The 20,590-nt window shown below is 46.4% G+C and overlaps 1 long non-coding RNA gene across 1 annotated transcript, besides 3 other annotated features; it reads left to right on the top strand.

Annotated features, from left to right (window-relative positions):
* Positions 1,554–2,095: an enhancer, noted in NCBI's record as "OCT4-NANOG hESC enhancer chr18:10044033-10044574 (GRCh37/hg19 assembly coordinates)". NCBI's record gives its function as "activates a minimal SCP1, AML or CMV promoter by ChIP-STARR-seq in naive H9 embryonic stem cells {active_cell/tissue: H9 hESC(naive)}" and the evidence as "EXISTENCE:reporter gene assay evidence [ECO:0000049][PMID:30033119]".
* Positions 10,550–11,051: an enhancer, noted in NCBI's record as "H3K4me1 hESC enhancer chr18:10035077-10035578 (GRCh37/hg19 assembly coordinates)". NCBI's record gives its function as "activates a minimal SCP1, AML or CMV promoter by ChIP-STARR-seq in naive H9 embryonic stem cells {active_cell/tissue: H9 hESC(naive)}" and the evidence as "EXISTENCE:reporter gene assay evidence [ECO:0000049][PMID:30033119]".
* Positions 13,512–13,661: a silencer, noted in NCBI's record as "silent region_9292". NCBI's record gives its function as "represses an Ori minimal core promoter by ATAC-STARR-seq in GM12878 lymphoblastoid cells {active_cell/tissue: GM12878}" and the evidence as "EXISTENCE:reporter gene assay evidence [ECO:0000049][PMID:35858748]".
* On the top strand, positions 17,186–18,891 carry LOC105371983 (uncharacterized). Its single transcript, XR_935135.2, has 3 exons — positions 17,186–17,417; positions 18,211–18,327; positions 18,779–18,891. It is a non-coding gene; the product is annotated as an uncharacterized LOC105371983 (long non-coding RNA).
* The last annotated feature ends 1,699 nt before the right edge of the window (positions 18,892–20,590 follow it).

Genomic DNA, 20,590 nt, shown 5'->3' with positions numbered 1-20,590 from the left:
CATGGCTGTACAGGCATTGTTTCATGAAACATTGGGCTCAGTATTATTTACATGGGGATTGGGGTGTGTGCACGTATACCAGGTCATGATGCTACATGTACCTCTTACTGGGAATCGCAATTAAAAGGCGCTGCCCTTGCAGCAGTAACAGGTTTTTAATTGATTACAGTGCGAAGGAGAAGCCTGCCTTTGGCATGAACGGCACATGCTGAAGTTGGCTGATTCAACACCCGTTTGTTCCAGCCTCCTCGGCCCGGCCTCCTGTCCCACAGAGGTGGGAATCTGAACACTGCCTTTCCCACTCGCCTCTGCTGCCAAACAAGTGAAATGGGCAAAACTAAAAAAGTTAGATGCTGATGTGAGGAGCAACAGGCGGCAGCCATGGGTGGGGATCCGGGCTTCCAGCCGGTGCACGCTGGAGACCCTGACCTCTGCGAGGCCGCTTCTGGCGTCCAGTCCTGAGCCTCGGGGACCTCGTGGGGATGGCAGTGGTGGTAGTGTCCTGAAGATGTCTGTCCCTGCTGTAGCTAAGCTCAGTTCCTGGCTGTGTTTCTCCTGTTGTTCCAGGCCCTGTCGCCTCCAGGCCTGGTTCCTGCCCCCCTGGAGAGTCAGTGCGGCACACAGCGGCCTTTCATAAAGCTGCTCGCGTTCTGTCCGCGTTCTGTCTGTCTGGCTCTGCGTCCCATGCGGCGTCTTGCCAGGCCTGGCCCTCACACCCAGAGACCTGTTTTCCTCTTTGCCATAGGGCTCCCTTTAGTGGCAGGCAGCCCCCTGATGTCACAGGATTTTTCCCTGCGGCCCCTCAGCTACATCAGGATCTGGTGCTTCTCTCTCCTGTTTTATCCAAACCAATTGGTCCTGTGGCTGAACCATTCAGGACCCTATTTCAGCAACAGCTACCCCAATAAACTGCTAACATTATCCTAAGTGAAATGGCTCAGAAAAACAGAAAGCCAAGAACTGCATGTTCTCACTTACAAGTGGAAGCTAAACAACGGGTGCACACAGACATACAGAGAGGAGTAATAGACATTGAGGGCAGGAGGGGTTAGAGATGAAATACTAGCTACAGGGTACAATGAACACTATGTCAGTGGTGAGTCCGCTAAAAGCCGAGACTACACCACTACACAGTATATCCTCTTTTTTTTTTTTTTTTTTTTTTTTCCTGAGACAGAGTCTCACTCTGTCGCCCAGGCTGGAGTGCAGTGATGCAATCTCAGCTCACTGCAACTTCAGCCTCCCGGGTTCAAATGATTCTCCTGCCTCAGCCTTCCCAGTAGCTGGGTTACAGGCACCCACCACCATACCCGGCTATTTTTTGTATTTTTAGTAGAGACAGGCTTTCACCATGTTGGCCAGGCTGGTCTTGAACTTCTGACCTCAGGAGATCTGCCCACCTTGGCCTCCCAAAGTGCTGGGATTACAGGCATGAGCCACCACACCTGGCCCAGTATATCCATTTAACACAGCTGCACTTGTATCCCTAAATCCATAACAATAAAAATAAAAAATAAAAATTTTAAAAGCAGAGGGTAAGCAAAAGTTTGTATAAAAAAAGATGAAAAACAAATATTTTTTAGAAAAATTAAATTAAAATGTATATAAAAAAATAAAATAAAATAAACTATTTAAGAAAGGTGCCAACGGTTTGATGCTTCACCCTGTCCAGTGGAGCCCATGATCCAAGAAGTAGCCTTCAATGCCTTCAACCCATAACATTCAAATTGAAGATTTCAGTTGTTGGGGTCTTGCCTTGAGTGAACTCCTTTTATTCTCCTATGTGATTTAAAAGACAACTGCATAAAACAATGCAGACTGATCACATTCTGATGGCTCCCACCAGGGGAGCCCCAGCCTTCCCTCCCGTCTCCACCCACAGCAGCTCCACTTTCACCTACTCTGTCTAGCAGGGCTCCACCCAAGTCTGTATTTGAAAAAAAAGGAAAGAAAAAGTCCCAAGGCCATGGTATGAATAGGAAGGATTCTAAAAAGCACAACCCCTTTTCAGGATGCCATGCCTAATCCCCAGAACCTGTGAGTGTGGCAAAATATCACACCATGATTAGGTTCTACTCCATGGCACAGTTGGCCTTTGGATTGGGAGATTGTCCAGTGGGCCTGACCTAGTTGCAGGAGCCCTTAAAAGCAAAGTGCTTTCCCTGGCCGCTGGCAGAAGAGGAGGGCAGAGAGACTTGGAGCAGAGCTCAACATAAGCCATTGCCGCTTTGGAGAGGGAAGGAGATTCATGCTCACTGAGCACCAAAGATGTGCGAGGCATACCGCACACCTCCATAAAGCATGCTCATCCACTCCCATTCCACAGACAAAGGAAGGGAATCCAACTGAGATCAAGAATTTTCCCCGAAGTTGAATAGGGTAACTAGGATCCCCCAAAATCTGGCTTTTCTCTCACAACTAAATAAGAAGATAACCAGCTATTAATAGGCTTATGAAAGGCCCAATAAACAGTTCACAGAAACAGAAATATAAATGGCCAAAAATGTTTGAACATATGCTCAACCTAATTCAAAAATAAATATATGCAATGTAAGTGAAATATTATGTATTTGTCCATTGATATAAATTTAAAAGATTAATAATACCAAGTATTAGTGAGGGTAAAAAAATAGGCACTCTCATATATTATTAACAGAAATGTAATGTGGAGCATCCTCTTGGGAAATCAATAGGCAAAACTTATAAAAATTCTACCTACATATAGCCTTTGACTCAAAACTTCTCAGCTAAGAATTTACCCTACAGGTAAAACACTCACAAAAGTATGCCAATGCATCTATGTGATGGTCACTTCAGTATTATTTGTAATAATAAAAATACAAAAAACATAAGAGACTAGGTATTAAGTATTCTTACCACAAAAATAAGTATGTGAGGTAATGCATATGTTAATTAGCTGATTTAGCCATTTCATAATATATACATATTTCAAAACAACATGAACACAATAAATATATGCAATTTTTTAATTTGTTAATTTAAGAAAATTTAAGGCAGAAAACAGCAATCTATAGGCACATGGAAAACTATGATTGACCCATATGATACTATATCTACATAAAGACTAAAAAGAATCAGAATGTGATCAATCTGTATTGTTTTATGCAGTTGTCTTTTAAATCACATAGGAGAATAAAAGGAGTTCAAAAGAAACATACATTTATATTTTCCTTCCATATTTACCTATGTAATTACCTTTATCTGGTTCTGTGCCCTTTATTTCTTAATATGGATTTCTTCAAGTTACTAATGACCTTCTATTTCAGCCTGTATATTATATTCTATAGGGCAAATCGGCTGGCAACAAATTATCTCAGTTTTTGTCTATCTGGAAATGCCTTAATTACTTCTTTAATTTTGACTAATTGTTTTGCTGGATGTAGAATTCTTGGTTGACGGTGTTTTTCTTTTGGTGCTTCAACTATGTAATCCAACTGTTTTCTGGCCTCCGTGGGTTCCGATGAAAATATTTCTTACGTATGTCTTATATGTGATGAGTCACTTCTCTCTTACTGCTTTCAACAGTTTTATTATAGCATGCCTAGGTGTGGGAGTTTGTCTTTTTTTGGGGGGCTGGGGGGTGTGAAGACAGAGTCTTATGGTCTCACTCTGTTGCCCAGACTGGAATGCAATGGCACAAACATGGCTCACTGAAGCCTAGAATTCCTGGGCTCAAGCAATCCTCCCACCTCCGCCTCCTGAATAGCCGGAACTGGAGGCACACACCACCACTCCTGGCTAATTTTTGTATTTTTAGTAGAGACGTGGTTTCACCATGTTGCCCAGGTGGGTCTCAAACTCCTCAGCTCAAGGGTTCCACCTGCCTCAGCCACCCAAAGTGCTGGGATTACAGGTGTGAGCCACCACACCCAGCCTGAGTTTATCTTATTTTGAGTTCGTTGAGCTTCTTGGATGTTAAATTAATGGTTTTTAAATCAAATTGGGAAGTTTTTGGCCATTATTTCCTCAAATATTTTTCTGCCCTTTCTGTCTCTCTCTCTTCATTCTGGGATTGTATTGTGTTTATGTTGGTCCCACTCAGTGGTGTTCAATAGGTGTCTTAATCTCTGTTCATTTTCCTTCATTATTTTTTCTTTCTGCTCATCAGACTGAATAATAACCATTGATCTATCTTTAAGTTCACTAATTATTCCTTCTGCTTACTCAAATCTTCTTTTGAAACTTTCTGGTGAATGTGTCATTTCAAATTATTGTACTTTTTAACTCCAGAATTTCTATTTGCTTCCTTTCTATAATTTCCACCTCTTTGTTGACATTGTCTCTTTGGTGAGAGATCCTCATGGTTTCCTTTATTTCTTTGTGTATAATTTTCTTTAGCTCTTTGTGCATATTTAAAGTAATTGATTTAAAGTCTTCATCTACTAAGTCCAACATCAGGGCTTCCTCAGACACAGTTCCTATTAATTGCTATTGTCCCCTTTCTATAAAGCTATATTTCATATTTTTTGCATGTGTCATAATTTTTGTTGAAAACTAGACATTTTAAATAATATTGCAAAGGCTTTTAAGTCTAGTCTGGTGAAACAGAACACTCACACAAGTCAGGCAAAGCAGATTTTATTACTCACAAATAGGCAGCAAGGATAAACAGAAGCTTAGGATTTATGGTGAGCCAGTCCCCCAAGGCTCAGGAAAGCTGCCCAGGGCAGATGGAGTCTCATCTGTGCTTGCCCCATGTGAAATCCCAGCTGAGGGACCCTGAAAGCACTCTGCTCTGCATTTTATACCCTGGATGTCACTTTGTTTGCTGAGCTTGAGCATTGCAGAACATCCTGTTCTGGGAGGAATAAGGACACAGCTGTGGTTGTTCCAGACATTTTCTCCTTATCTCTGGACATTGTATCCTTGGTACATTCTGCCCAAGAATTACAAGAAGAGTGGGGAAGAGCTGGATTGGCCAAGGGCATCTAGGGATCTGTCCTCTTGCAAATATAATATGGAAACTCTGAAAATCAGATCCCCCCCACACCTCACTCCCTAGAGTATTTTGCTCTTGTTATTCATTGCTTTATGTGTTGCTTGTTTGGTTGGTGATTTTTCTGAACTAATTATGTAAATTCCATGTCCTTTGTTGTTGTGGCCACTGAAATCTCTGTTTGGTTAGCTTTGTGATCAGCTAATGATTAGAAAGAGGCCATCTTTAAGTGCCTGGAACCAATAAGTCTACCAGTCTCTGCTCAGTGTGACTCAGCCAGGCTGTTTACAACTCTGCCTTATCGTTCACTTCCCACTTGTGCAGAATCTCAAGGCTAGTCAAATATGAGAGCTCATGGCCTTATCCAGTCTTTCCTGAGAATGTGCTCAGCCCTGGGCATGAATATGGCTCTCTAGAGACCTAGGAATACGTTGGAGCTTTTCAAAGTCTGTATGGACGTCTCACTTCCCAAATTTCTTTTTAAGCTTTTTGGTCAGCCTTTTATTTGCCCCAGCTGTTATCCAGTGAACTGTTATCCAGGTCGCTGAGATGTTCAATAATTGCCTCTGATTTTTTTTTCTTTTTTTTTCTTTTTTTTTTTTTTTTGACAAACAGCCCTGGAGAAAAGTCTGTTTACACTTGGAAAGCTTCAAGTCAACTCAAATAAAGACAGCCTTGAGAATGAGATCTTCCAGGGAACCAACAGAAAGGTCAAATGCTGACAACTCTCTGGAAATAGGCCTTTGAAGGCACTCCATCCCTATTCTGCCCCCTCCAGTGGCTGCTGGTTTTCTCTGTAATTGAAGGCTGCATATCTTCAAGACTACCATGGAGACCAGGGGATAAGGGTATGTATGGAAATAGGGCAAATTAAAACATCATAAAACTCATTGTTCTTATGAAGATTCAGACATTTTTCTTGAGCAAACACTTCTCGAGTTGCTGCAAGCCTTTGGTTAACTTCCAGAGTCCTGAAAAGTTGATTCTGACAGTTTTTGCCACTGTTCTCATTGCTTGTACGGAGGTGGGAATTTTTGAAGATCCTTACTCCCTCATTTTCACAGATGTCACTCTCTTATTTTATTTAATTTTAATTAATTTAGATTTAAATTTAAATAGCCACATGTGACTAGTGGCTACTGTATTGGACAGTGTAAGTCTATAAAATTCAATATGAAGTCAACTAGCCCAATGAAAGTTAACTCCAATATAGATATATACAAATACAGTAAACTCAAAATCACTATGGAGGAGGCAGGCCATGCATTATCTCCATTCTGCAGTTGAGGAAACTGAGTTGAGAGTCAAGACGTGGAAAAGAGAAGCCGAGAATAACCTCCAGCTGCTGAGGAGGCCTGGGCACAGTTGCTGATGGGGCATGGGTGTCCTCAACCACCAGCCCCACTGGAAACCTGGGGGCAGATGACACAACTGCTCTCCAGCAGTCAAGTGGAAGGAGCCTGATGTCTCATCACTGCCATGTGCCAGGATGCTCCAGCTTCTCTCTAATCCTCTTTTTTTCTTTTTTTTGAGATGGAGTTTTGCTCTTTGTTACCCAGGCTGGAGTGCAGTGGCGCAATCTCGGCTCACTACAACCTCCGCCTCCCAGGTTCAAGTGATTCTCCTGTCTCAGCCTCCCAAGTAGCTAGGATTATAGGCACCCACCACCAGGCCCAGCTAATTTTTGTATTTTTAATAGAGACAGGGTCTCACCATGCTGGCCAGGCTGGTCTCAAACTCCTGACCTCAGGTGATCCACCCATCTCAGCCTCCCAAAGTGCTGGGATTACAGGTGTGAGCCACCACACCCAGCCTCTTTAATCCTCTTATTAGTCATCCTATAGGTGGCCAGGAAGCCAAACAAAATGGAAATCTGCTGAATTTAAAACAATCTGATGCCCTTATTTTTTCAGTTCAATAAATTAAAAATATATGGTTTGGTTTCAAACTGATTCATGGGAGTTTAGGATTAAAGATTTTGTTCTCCTGGTTGGTTGGGTTTTCCTTGTTTCCTTTTTCTTTTAATCTTCTTTTAATGTCACGCTCCCATTTATGATTGTGTAAACAATGGATGTACGATTTCTGCACTCGGCACGTGAGTGCAGCTACCTCTAGTATCAGCTCATGGCTCTCTGCACTTCCAGTGCCTGGGAGACATGCATTTGCCAGAATCCATTACATTGTCCCAGGCAGGAGTGCCACAGGGCACCCAGACTTCCCAGGCACCAGCTAGTGGCAAATCACATCAAGCATTTGTGGCATTTGTTTCAGGAGAGCACACTGCAGCAGGGTGAGGTAGGAAGCCTGTCCCAAGGTATCCACTAAGTTAGACAATCCAGGGAAACCTTGGTTTACTAATCCAGATTTCAACCTGCCAAACCAGCTCCAGTGCAAGACTACCAAGCTCGCTTTGTATCAGCTTTCAAGAGACTCGGTGCAAAGGAAATAAGTGATGATGTGCTCAAACAGAGAAACCCATCCTAATTCCCAAAGACACCTTCCCCAGGAAGCCTTCCCTGACCCCTGGGCTGAACTGAGAATGCCTCCTCTGTGCCTCCCTGTCCCTGAGCACAAATAGCAGGGCACTCCACATGCTATTTGTAAATTACACGTTGCCATGTTGGCCTCCCCAGTCAGACAGCGAGATTCTTGGAGACAAATGTCTTGTCTTCATTACCCTAGCACTAGCACCAGCACCAGCAGGGGGCCTTAGATGCTCCCTGTGTGCAATGATCTGTGTGCATATCCTGCCTATGTATAGATGTCCTGGGCTCAGTACACACTTGTTGAACTCAACCCAGGATGGCTATGCCAGGACAGAGAATGTGGCTTTTAAGGGACCCTAACAGCCCATCTGAAAAAAAAACAAAAACAAAAAAACTTGATCCTTGATTTAATCATGGGATTTCTATTAAGATATCACACATTTTGGGTTTTTCCAGTCTGTCTTCTTCCTCTTACTACTGATCACGTCATTCCCCTGTGCCATGCATAGCACAGCCATGTGTGTTTGACGGACACAGGTTGATTAGTACACTGAGAGCCTTGCTCTCTCTGATGCCCTTGGCAGGGAGAAGCCAGATTGCAGGGCCTCGGGTATCAATGGCTTACACGGGACCTCCTTACTTTGGTTCCTTCTCCCAAGGAAACAGTTGCAGTCATAACAGAAGTGCACATATTCAAAGTCCGCTCATGCTGTGTGCCACGTGGTCAGGAGGGCAGTCATCTCCCAGGGCAAGAGGGCATTCCCAGCCTCCCCCTGGGCACATCTTCCCTGCTCTTGGGCAAAACCACCAGCCAAGATAACGCTTACATTATTGGTGGACTTCATTTTTGTGTCATCTTTATCCATCATTTATGTACTTGTTTAATGTATAAAATACATTTACATATTTAACAAATGTCTTGAGCACCCGCTGTGTGCCAGGTGCTGTGCTGAGCACCACTGGGTACAAAGATGAACTAAAATGTGGGTTCTCCCCAAGGCACCTGCAGGCCAAGCGTGCATAAAGGAAATGGACAAAACCATGGGGTTGAGATGAGAAAATATTAGAAGGAGGAGGGAGAGGAAGAGAAGAAGGCAGGTGAGGACAGTCCCTTGAGACAGATGTCTACGTGGGAGGAGGACGATGGATCTGAGAAGGAGCAATGCAGGGATGGAAGGAAACCGAGAATGCCACTAACAGAGTCCACTGGGGCCCAGCTTCATGGATTCACCCAAAACCACGCAGGCCTTTTACCAAGCACAGGGACACAAGAGATGCCATGCAGGGCCTGAGTTCCAAAAGCTGGGGCCCAGTGAGGAACCTGAGCTTCTCAGTGTGAGGAGGAGGTGCCAGTCCAGCCGGGAAGCCCTGTGGAAAGCAAACACCATGTATGGACTGGCCCAAGCTGTGTGTCTCACAGAGGTTAGCAAAGTCCTCCCATCACCAGGTGGTCTGCGTTGGCTTACTTGGAGCTTGCTTGTAATAATTTTGACCAGGTTAGTTACTTAGTAAGGCTGTTCACCCTATATTGACCGAAGCGTACACTCTTTGGTAGGGGCCCAATTTCGATATTTGTTACTCCTGATTCCAAGGTATGGATCAAAACAAACAACATCCTCAGCGCCCTACAATGTACTGCCCACACTGCTCCCCCCCACAACTCTCCAACACCACACCTCCAAAAAAAGTTCAGCCCTTCCATCCTAATAAAGAAAATCTGTGGCTCGCTGGGCACAATAGCTCATGTTTGTAATGCCAGCACTTTGGGAGGCTGAGGCAGAGGATCACTTGAGCCCACAAGTTCAAGACCAACCTGGGCAACATCGTGAGACCCCCATCTCTACAAAAATTTAAAAATTAGGTGTGGTTGTGTGTTCCTGTGGTCTCAGCTACTTGGAAGGCTGAGGTAGGAGGATCGCTTGAGCCCAGGAGGTCGAGGCTGCAGTGAGCTATGATTGCGCCACTGCATTCCACTCTGGATGACAGAGTGAGTCCCTGTCTCTCAAAAAAAAAAAAAAAGTCTACATCTGGATTCACCAATGCACATCACTCCTTTGGGGCTGTCTGTCTCCTGGTACCCGGATCAGGATAGGCAGCACTGTTCTTTAAAGCTCATTCCCATGCTAAGAGGTCATCATGGTTTCCTGCCTCTGATCTCACATTTGCCATGCCACTCCGATCCTTTCTGGGACTGAGTTTTCTGCCTGGGTGTTGCAGTCCAATTAAAAGTGAAAGAAGGAACGAGACCAGTGAGATCTAACCAAAGAGGACAAAAACCAGCAAAAGCATTCCAGGGAGAAGAGGCGATCCTCCTCCAACTTTACCCAGTGGTTTTGAGCCTTTCATTTCTCCATTCAAAAGCTATTTTAAAAGTTTTGGCTTGGTCCTAAACAGTGGTTGGGGATTTTAATACATGACTATCTATCCTGTTTAAACCTCCTCAGTGGAAATAACTGAAAACACTACCTTGTTTCTTCCTTCTGGGATTCCAATGTTTAAAACACATCATGTGTTTTCATTCTCATACAAAACTCTTTGTGAGAGTTTTCCTCACTTTAGATAGTGCTAACATTTTTTAAAAAAGTAATTCATTTAAGACTAAATAATGCTAGCAATGCAAAAAGATCAGAAGACCAGTGGGTTCGACTGGGAGTTAGAATCAGGGTTTGTCTGTATTATTGAAGGGAAAATTATGTCACACATGCACAAAATTGAACCTAAGCAGGTCACGTTCCCCTGAAGGCCAGCAAAGAAAGCTGTGAATCATTATAAAGCCCTTCCATATCTGGAGTGCTCACTGAACCAGATTCCTGAAGGCAAGCAAACAAAAAGCTGTTCTTTTGCAAGCTTTTGTTGGATGCCCAAGTGTGTCAGAAGAAGAACAAGTATCTACTAGTAGGTTGGCATTAACAAAAAGTCAGTATTAGAGAGGAGGGAAAAAAAATCAGGGAGGCTATGTAATTGGAGTTCTGCAGCACCTCAAAAGCTCAGAGTAACAAACACCTGGCCACCAGGTGACTCATGCCCCTTGCTGCCAAGCACATGGAAGGGTCGAGTGGGGAGGCACTCGCGTGCACTGTGACAACCTCTGAGCTGCCGGAACTGCAGTCAGGCCAGTGAGTGCCCCTGGCTGGGCCGGGAAGACCGGCCTGTGCTCTGATCCTGCCCCTCTGGTATCGTTCAACCCAGTCAAGCCTGTTCAACAATTTCTTCTCTAAAACAGGCTCTTTGATGCAGCCTCATTTTGTGTTCAGTGACATGAAAGAGATACTGATGCTGATTATCAAAGGCATGCCTCCCAACCACAAGCAGCTAATGCCCGCGGGATGTAACAGTATCTCTTCCTCCAACTTCTGCATCCTCCCGCTGGGAAGGGCTCAGTGGCCACGGAGCACGTCTTTTTTTCCCTACTAATTTCACATCGGATATTAATCCATGTGGGAGGAACATGGATTAATACCTTAAGCTTGTAGGTCACACTCAGGTGAACATACTCCACGGATCTAAATGCCACGGAGACAGAGAAAGGTGCCTCCTGGGGCTCCTGAGGGAAGAGGCTCCCCTGAGAATCTCCTGGGCCATCGCCACACCTGGCCCCACCCTCTAGAGGCCCATTACACCATCCATGGAAATCTATGTTAATAACATCTTCAGAATAAAAGATAGAGCACCTTCCTATCCTGGGTTAATTAGTTTCCATTCTAAGCACTCAAGATAAAATGCCCAACAATAAAGATGTCAAATAAACCCACATGTTTACAGTGGAATTGCATACAATTTAAAAGGATATTTCATGATGGGCAAAATGTTCATGATATATCAAAAAGAAAAATTTTGATTACAAAACAGTATGTACAGAATGACTTCCGTTTTGTAAAAATAAAATAAACTGAGTTGAGCATGTGTGTTTGTGCTTGCATAGAGAAAAGTCTGGGATGAGGCCCACCATGGCAGCAACAGCGGCCATCTCAGAGTAATGGGGCTGCACACGGCTTGCCTTTATTCTTTCTTTGCTAATATATATTTTCTAATTTTTCCACAAAGTATATTATTTCCTTGAATTACAGAAGTTTGGAATTTGGTCAGATGATGCACAGTCAGGAAAAGGAAGCTGTCCTTTCAAAGAAACTGTTCATGTGTGTAGAGAAAACACAGCCATACCAAAAGGGCTAATTTTTTTTTTTTTTTTTTTTTTTTTTTTTTGCCAGAGCCTCATTCTTTCCCTGAGACTGGAGTACAGTGGCATGATCTTGGCTCACTGCAACCTCTGCTTCCCAGGCTCGAGCGATTCTCCTGCTTCAGCCTCCCCAGTAGCTGGGATTACAGGCACGCGCCACCACACCAGGCTAATTTTTGTATTTTTAGTAGAGACGAGGTTTCACCATGTTGGCCAGGTTGGTCCCAAACTCCTGAGGTCAAGTGACCTGCCTGCCTCGGTCTCGGCCTTCCAAAGTGCTGGGAATACAGGCGTGAGCCACTGCCCCTGGCCAAAGTGCTTATTTTTAATTATGTTTATGTTTTTATTTTAAATAACAGCTAAGCCAATAACAAAACAATTTCCTTTGTCCTTGCTAACAAGACCTGTCGATCCACCCATCTCTTGGCACCAGCAGCCTGGAAGAGAAATCTCAAATTAGTTGAGAAAATGAGGCGGCCAAAATTGTTCTTGCTGTCTACCTAACCTCATTGTCTCTCCATCAGTCTCTTTGTGGAGGAACATGTGAGGACCACATACGTTCTGGTGGCTCTGGCTCTGGGATTAAATGAAAAAAATGTAGGGAAACTGTAAATCCTAACTCACCATACAAATGTGAGTTTATTATCATACTATTATTATCTGTGTGATATCCTGGTTTACCTTTAAGGGAGCCTGAGTTTCAAACCTGCAGTAGAAGGAGTGAAGGCTAAGATGCCCTCCCGCCATGGTCTCTCTGACGACTGCTGGGCTGCCGAGAGTCTCAGACCTCTGGGAATAGACTGAGATCCCAGTCTAATCGCGGAAGGATGCAGGCAGTGAGAAGCTGAGGGAAGACTTGGAGCAAAGATCGTTCATGAAAAGGCTCAAGAGTATCTGACCCATTGAAGTCATCATTACAGGGGACGGATGGAAAAGAATGTCTGTAGAATAGTACGAAAGTCAAAAGTTCTACTGGAATTTCTTGCCGTCTAGAAATGCACACCAACCCACACATGCAGGTGCACACACACACTACATGTAAACGGTACACACAAGCATGCACACGGATTTTGTTATGTGTGGAGGCATATGTGTCCCCTCCCAAATACACACTCCTGGAAGCTCACACTGTTTTCCTAGTTCCACAAGAGGTTAGAAAGGCTGCATGGGTGTTAGCCTTGCCCTCCCCGGGCTTCCCGACATTAAATGTATCAGCAGGTCCATAAACAGGCAAAACGCTAGAGGCTCGTCTGGGCAGCTGGGCTCGGGGTCTGATTTTCCCACATCGGGCACTCATAGATTTACTGCAGCAGGAATGAACGTTACTCAGAGCATGTTTCTCACCCTCGCTAAACTAATATTTGATCTCAGTCCCTTGGAACAAAACACAGCCTCAGTGTCTGCTGAGCAACCCTGAGCATAAAAGAATAGTCAGGCACGGAATTGGAGCCAAACAAAAAGGAAATGAAGTTCATTTCTCTTTTTCTTGAGCTTTAAAAATAACTCTTTGCCTTCCTAACCCCCGTCAGATCTGACCGAGCGTGAGTCCCTCCTCACCTTCAGGAACTTCACCCCCACCCGCACCCTTCACACCCCAGGGCGGCCGTTCAGGCTTCCCTGGACAGGCGCGGCCCGGCCTTGGCCGCTTCTCCCGGGCATGAAGTCGAGGTCACGCTTCCCGAGAGACACTGGGAGAGCGCCCGCCTGTGGCTCCTTTGCTCTGAAGGGCGTCTGGACACAGCGGAGACCCCCTCGTGGGCCCAGGACTCTGCAATCTTTCACTGAGCTCAGGGCTGGGACAGACACTCGCTGAGCGTCCCCGGGCGCCCCGCACAGCGCTCGGGGCCAGGCTTCCGGAACACGGTGCCCCCCACCTGCGCAGGCCTTCCGGGCTCCTAGAGCGGTCCTGGGGCCTGCGGGCCCCACCTCCCCGGCAGGGTGGGCGTCTGCTGCCGCCTGCTGCCCCCAAGTGGCCGCCAGCGAGGCCCTGGGGGCCCAGGAGCGGCCTTCCGCTGGGGTGTTGATCCGCACCCCCATCCGCGGGCACCGTGGTAAGTGGAGCTAATTCTGAGTCTTTGCGGGCCCTTTGAGGGGCCGGGGGTCACCGAACAGACCTCAGGCTGTCACATAGCAGCCATGCACACTCAGCTGTGTGTGGAGCAGCTTCCACTTTCCCTTCTCCTCCTTGAGTTCAGCGCAATGGAAAGGAGAAAAGCGAACCTGCGAAGCGGCCTAGTCCCTGGCACGCCCGCCCTGCTAGCGGCATAAGCCTGTCATTCGACTCCCCAGAACCTTCCTTCTTGTGATAACACCTCTGCTACCCACTCAGGGGGAGAGTGCAAGACACAGGCTCTGACGCGGGGACGCCATTGAAGAAAATAAAGCCCTCCCCAGATAGGGGTACAGAGAACACGCAAGATGCCCGCTAAAATTGGAATGCAGAGAACCCACGAGTAATTTTTTTTTTGAAACGGAGTTTCGCTCTAGTTGCCCAGGCTGGAGTGCAGTGGTGTGATCTCAGCTTGCTGCAACCTCCGCCTTCCGGGTTCAAGCGATTCTCCTGCCTTAGCCCCTGAGTAACTGGGATTACAGGCGCCCGCCACCACGCCCAGCTAATTTTTTATATTTTTAGTAAAGACGGGGGTTTCACTGTGTTTGCCAGGCTGGTCTCGAACTCCTGACCTTAAGTGATCCACCTGCCTCGGCCTCCCAACGTGCTGGGATTACAGGCGTGAGCCACCACGACCGGACAGTAATTTCTTAGTATAAGTATTAATACATCTCGAGTGTTGCATAGGACATACTTATCCCAAAATTTTTCATTGCGTATCTGAAATTCAAGTTTAACTGGGTGTTGAGGGGGAGATTGTTATTTTGATGTTTTGTTGTGTTTGTGGGTTTTGGTTTTGTTTCTAACTTCACCAACCCATCCCCAAATGCCAAGCATCCTGTCTGAGCAGGACCACAACTCCTGAAGCCCCTTCCCACAGCTGCTACTCCGCGACACCATCACAAGTGGGCTAAAGTGGAGCAAGCATTTTCCAAGTAGAAGGAAAGCAGTCAGCTGTCGAAGCCGGGGCTGGAGGACGCCTGCGCCTGCTTGGGGCCCTGCAGCCCGCACCTCCTGAGCTCAGCGGGCACCTTAGGACAAGGCACCGCTGGCCCCGGGAGTTGCCTCTTATCTGATCCCAGCCAATATTTTCTCAAAGTCAGACGTGATAAACACTTTTAAGGCCTCAGCATCTCCCAGACATCTGTTATTCATTTTCTTTGGCCTTGATTTGGTCTTAATCGTTTGTAAGGGCCCAGGCATGCACTCGACTATCTGATTTGGGTTCTGCGCCGGCAGCGTTCTGGCCAGGAGACCTAACACCTGCATTTGTGGCAGAGCCGTTTGACACCCACTGCCTCATTTCGTCTTCACACATTGGGACACAGCAAGGTACAGAGCAGGAACCCCAACCCTGGCTGTACCCGGACATTGCATGATGGGAGAGCTTCCAGAACCCTTCCCCCTACGCCATGCCCCAGACCAATCACAGCAGAGCCTCTGCGGTGGACCCCCGTCCTGGTTGTCATTGTCAAAGCTCTCCAGCTGCTCTCCGAGCATCTCCAAAGCCCAAGACGGAGGACGCTGGCCCAGAACAGTGGTTCTCAAAGTGGGGTCCAGGCACCACAGCATGAGCATCACCTGGGAACTGTAGAAATGCACGTTCTCAGGCCCCTTCTCCAAACTGCTGAATCAGAACCTCTGGGTTCTAACCTCTCCCACTAATTTTGATGTGAACAAATTGAGGATCACTCCATTTTTTTGATGTGAACATTTGAGGATCACTGATGCAGATGAAAGCACAGGCTTTGGAGATGAGAGCAGTCCAGCCCCAATTCTAACTAACCCCAGCCACACGTAGCCTCTCAAAACTCAGATTTCACATCTGTCACAGGAGGGTGATGTTATCTGTCTCATACATAGCACTGTGGTGGAGATTAAGTGAGATGAGACGAGGCACATAGGTTGCACAGGAAAAGCCTGACAAAATCCCAGTAAATGTAGTGACCAGCCATCCTGGTTTGCTCCTGACAGAGGGAGACCCTGGGAGTCCCATCGTACTGGGATGAGTTGCTCGTCCTATCAGAGAATGCGAGTTCTCTCTGCCCTTGAGGGATGTAGGGAAGCCTTTCCTGTCCTTTCGGTAAGTAGAGACCCTAAAGGCTTGAAGGGACTTATCTGAGGCCCTGTACATTTGTGGGACAGCAAGGCTAAACCCTAGTTGCCTGACCCCAGTGAAGGCTCTTCTCTGAACCTGTGTGTCGCACCTCTGAGTAACACGAATGCCCATTCTAAGCTCCTTTTTAGTAATAACGCGTTGAATCCACACAATTTCAATCCACTTGAAATGAAGACCAGGCCAGCTCCACGGGCAGCAACCTAGGCAGTAACACAGTGCCAAGTGCTCAGCTGCATGCCCTCTTCTAATTTTTGGAAAGGGGTCTCACATTTTCATTTTGTGCTGGGCCTCACAAATCGTGTCACTGACCCTGTTTAGAGAGATTTAGTAACTCACACGAAGCCGCCCAGCTGGCCAGTGGCGAGGCCTGATGAAAACCCTGGGAGCTGGCTCCAGAGCCCGGACTTGTGATAAGGATGCTCTCGTCCCAAGAGTGGACACTTCTTTCACAAACACCAAGCACAAAGGGAATTTCACATGTTGTGGGGCAGACTGGAGGAGCTTAAAGCCAGTCCTCACCTCACTGCGAAGGACAAGACCCATTCACAGCTGCGACATCACTCACAACGCTTCTTAAAATGCTGACTTTAAAGTGCCCCAGAGTGCGGATCATCTCTGTGTATTAGCGGCATAAAATCACACCCAGTCATTTTTCTCTTCCCACTTCAACTGAGGGAAAACCACTTAGAACATCCCCCAACCCTGGGACTCATAATAAATAATAACACCTATGGTAGGCATCGCCAGGGTCTCACCTCTTTCCTGAAGCAGGCAATCTCCTCCCAGACCCCATGGCCCAGCTGATGTCCCTGTACCTGTGTGCACTTGAGCCCAGATTGTCCAGAACTGAGAGACAGACACAGGGTAACACCCTGGCCCCTCCCCAGTGTCTTCTTTTTCCCTCTGTGACCCAAACCCAAGGTTTTCTCTTCTTCCCTTCTGAGCCGATCTCTCATTCTCTGAAGGATTTACACAGGTGCGGTCACACCTTAGCGTGGCTAGCATCAAGGTGGACATACTTCTCCTGAGCATTTTCAACCAGTGGAATGAAAAGCTTTATCCCCACTAAAACACCTCAGATATGTGTCAGGAACCCACCGTGCTGTACATGGGAATGGCAGAATGTCCTGCCCAGGTACCACCAGCCGTGTGTGAGTGAGGTTCAGCCCTAACTCTGCAGGAATTCTGTGGGCATAAACCAGCTCACCTTCCTTCTTCACTCTCCTCCTCTTCCTCACTTGGTTCACCTGTCATCCCTCTTGTGAAAGATGCTGGCGCTTAGCCACAAGCCTTCATTAGGCCTCTGCTCTCCTTTCATGGCCCAGCAGGTCTCACTGTGCCCACAGGGCTCTGAGTTCAGCACGGACAGCAGAAGGCCTCCTATCGTGGGAACTGACAGTGACCGGGCCCCTGTTGACTGAAGCCAGAAGAAACAGGGAGCAGATACCCCAGTAACGTGACAAGCACATCAAATGAGGGGAAGGAGTGGGCAGAGAAGCAATGAGGTCTGCAGTCATTGTCCCACATGGATGTCCAGGAGGATTTGGGAGGCAAAGTCCAAGTCAAATGTGAGTCCGGGGAGGAGGTGGCATCCTATCCTGTCACATTCTACAGTCATAGCTTATTCTGGCAAGAATTCTACAGTCACAGCTTATTCTGTCTAAACCATTTGAAATTTAGAGAACTATGCTTGAAGAAGACCATAACAGAGAAATTTCTTTTGGAGGCAGGACACGATTAGAAAATGGATAAGAACTTCAATGAAAAAAGGAAAGAGACTGAGGTAAATTTCAGCCAAGTGTCTGCACAGGCCATAAACAGACTCCAAAACAACTGCCCTGGGAGAAGAAAAGGGCCCCAGGGCAGATGGAGGCCAGTGCAGGAGGCTTTAGTGAGGAGGGCCAGATCTGGGTCAAATGCAAGGTTGAGGACGTTTGGGTCAGGGTCAAGTGAACTCTTTGTGAAGGAAATGTGCCTGTGCAGATTTCAGTTTCCAGAGGGGAGTGGATGGCTGGTAACTGTCAGGTCAAAAGGAAGAGAGGCAAGAAGATACTAGATGTCATGGACTCAAACCTAGTAGCAATAACAGGAATACCGTAGTACTTCACACACCACCTTATGTAGATTGTCACTCAGTGCTTTTAAACAATAATCACATATTTCAGAGAAAAGAGTGAAGTATACAATAGAACCCGGAGAATGTACCCAAAAAAAAGGTCTAGAAGAAACATCACTGCAAATGACGCCCTCTGAGAGTAGTCAGGAAACTATAAGCCAAGGTTTACATGGTTATTGGGCCTCAAAGTATAAAATGAAAAAAGAAAAGTTTAAGTAAGTAATTTTGGGACATATGAAATCTAGGTGTCGAATGAAACAGAAACATCTTAGCAAGGATTTGCTTCCATCAAGCATGCAAGCTGCCTGCCAGTCTCGGGACCCAGCCACATAGCTCTCGTCCAGCCTTGTGTCGTGTGCATGGTAAGTGTTGAATGCAGTGGAGGATGTTCTGCTTTAGTAAGGGAAATGCTAGAATATTACCCTTCAGGGAGGGTTCCAGACCCCCTGAAGAAAATCATGGACTTCCCTACTGCCCTCATTCTTAAGGTGGGCAGATAGTGCCCATGCCCCTTCATATCAAACCCACAAGGACAGATGGGGAGGCCAGGGAGATGGGTGGTCAGGGTTCCAGGTCCTGCTGGAGGCAGACAGCTGAGGCCATCCAGCCTCCCCATCCCAGAACCAGTTTGCCTCCTAGGGAGCAACCATGTATGTCAATAAGGGGAGGATTGGGATTCTGCCAGCAGGAATTCTGTCATACCCCAGGCAGAATGGACTAGAAAACCCAACCAGAACATCATCCCAGCACATCCAGATCACCACTCTGATCCTCCAAGGCCAGTGGCCACTCTGCTCTCTGCTCTCCTTTCAGGGCCCAGCAGGTCTCACTGTGCCCACAGGGCTCTGAGTTCAGGACCGGCAGCAGAAGGCCTCCTATGGTGGGAGCTGACAGTGGCAGGGCCCCTGTTGACTGAAGCCGGAAGAAACGGGGAGCAAATACCCCAGTAACATAAGGCAATCCAGCAGGTGGGGTAAGGGCCAGGCTGTTAATCCACTTAATTCACTTAATCCACTGAATCCACCTTCCCAGATCCAACCTCTTTCACCTTCCCGGATCCAACCTCTTTCTCAGTATGTGACTTTGAGAAAATTACTTGTTTAACTTTCTACTTTCTTATCTGTAAAAGGGGATGATGATGATAATTCTAGAATTTCCCCCTAAGATTCAGCAGGAGGAAGAAAAGGACTGAGCCACCTTGGAGCTTGAAACAGGAAGAACAGAAGAGAGGTCTAAAATCAGGGTGAACCAAAACTACCGACTGTAGAGGCCTCCGATTAAACAGTCGATGCACCGACAGACACAGAGCTCCTAAAACTCAAAAATATTTCTACCTCCGGTTAATTATTCATTGAGAATTAACAAAGCGGCTGCAGTTTTAGCCACCCCAGGGGTGTGGCTGCGAGAGCCTTGGCTTTGAGCTTTGTTTTTACGATGCAGCCCTCCACCTCTTCTCTGGGTTAATGAATCCACTATTCATTGCTTTTTAATGTGGATTAATTTCATCATTCCCTTCATTTAATTCAACTAAATACCTACAGGCTAATGCTGATCAGGGGAACAGAACACAGCTTTTCTTGAAATATAGGTTAAGTTTTGTTTTCCACCATTATGGTTTTGCCAGGAGTCTTAAGTGCCCAGCTGCTCTTTCCTCAGCAGAAATGTTGCTTACAAAACAACACATGAGCGTGTGGTTGTGGAGGAAGTACACGTTCTCATGGCACAGCTTTCCCATTACACAGTCGCCTGTCCACGCAGCTTGCTGGGGTGGGAGAAGGCCGGCCTCCAGTTACGTTTGACCTGGCGAGGCTGGAAGGGCCAACCAAGTGGACGTCTTTAATCAATATGGCGGTGGTCTTGCTTAGGAATTGCCAATTCTTACAAGTGAAACATTCAGAGGAATTACCTCATTCAGAGATGATTGTGGTTGAATCAAAGGCTTTCTTTAATGATGAAAGGCAAAAATTACTTTGATGTTGGAAAATCTTCCTCATACACATGGAAATGCATGAAGGGGACTGCAAATGCTGCAGAATGTGGGAAGAACACCAAACGGGCAGGGGCAGGTCCTATGTATTTCAACTGCTTTCCAGATCCAGACAAGAGGACCTCTGTGTCAGAAAGAAGAGAGTGAGAGTGAGGCAGGACTTATGGGTTTCAACCAGATTTAGGCCCTGTTGGTTTTGGATGCGGAGCACCAGAGTGAGTTATGCAGACTGCTCTTATCAGTCTTGTGAGCCCAGCTCATGGCTTGGCCAGCGGCTCCTAAAATGAATGACCCAGATGGCGAAATGATGAGTTGCTTCCTTAACTAGCGCTCTTTTCTTTAACAGTATTTTTATAGCCTGTATTAATCGTGGTTACATACACATGACAAAAAATGTAACCATTTTTAAGTGGGCAGTGCAGTGACATCAAGTACATTAGCATTGCTGTACAACCACTGCCACCATCCACCCCCAGAACTCTTTTCATCTTGCAAAACAAAACTTCAGTATCCATTAAACACGAAATCTCACCCCCACCACGCCCCCTGGAAGCCCCAGCAACCACCCTTCAACTTTCTGTTCTATGAATTTGATTGCTCTAGGTACCTCATATGGGTGGAATCATACAGCATTTGTC

Source organism: Homo sapiens, chromosome 18, assembly GCF_000001405.40.
Source record: "Homo sapiens chromosome 18, GRCh38.p14 Primary Assembly".
Lineage (NCBI taxonomy): Eukaryota > Metazoa > Chordata > Mammalia > Primates > Hominidae > Homo > Homo sapiens.
The sequence above is the reverse complement of the archived record's forward strand: the minus strand, read 5'-3'. Positions and strand labels throughout refer to the sequence as shown.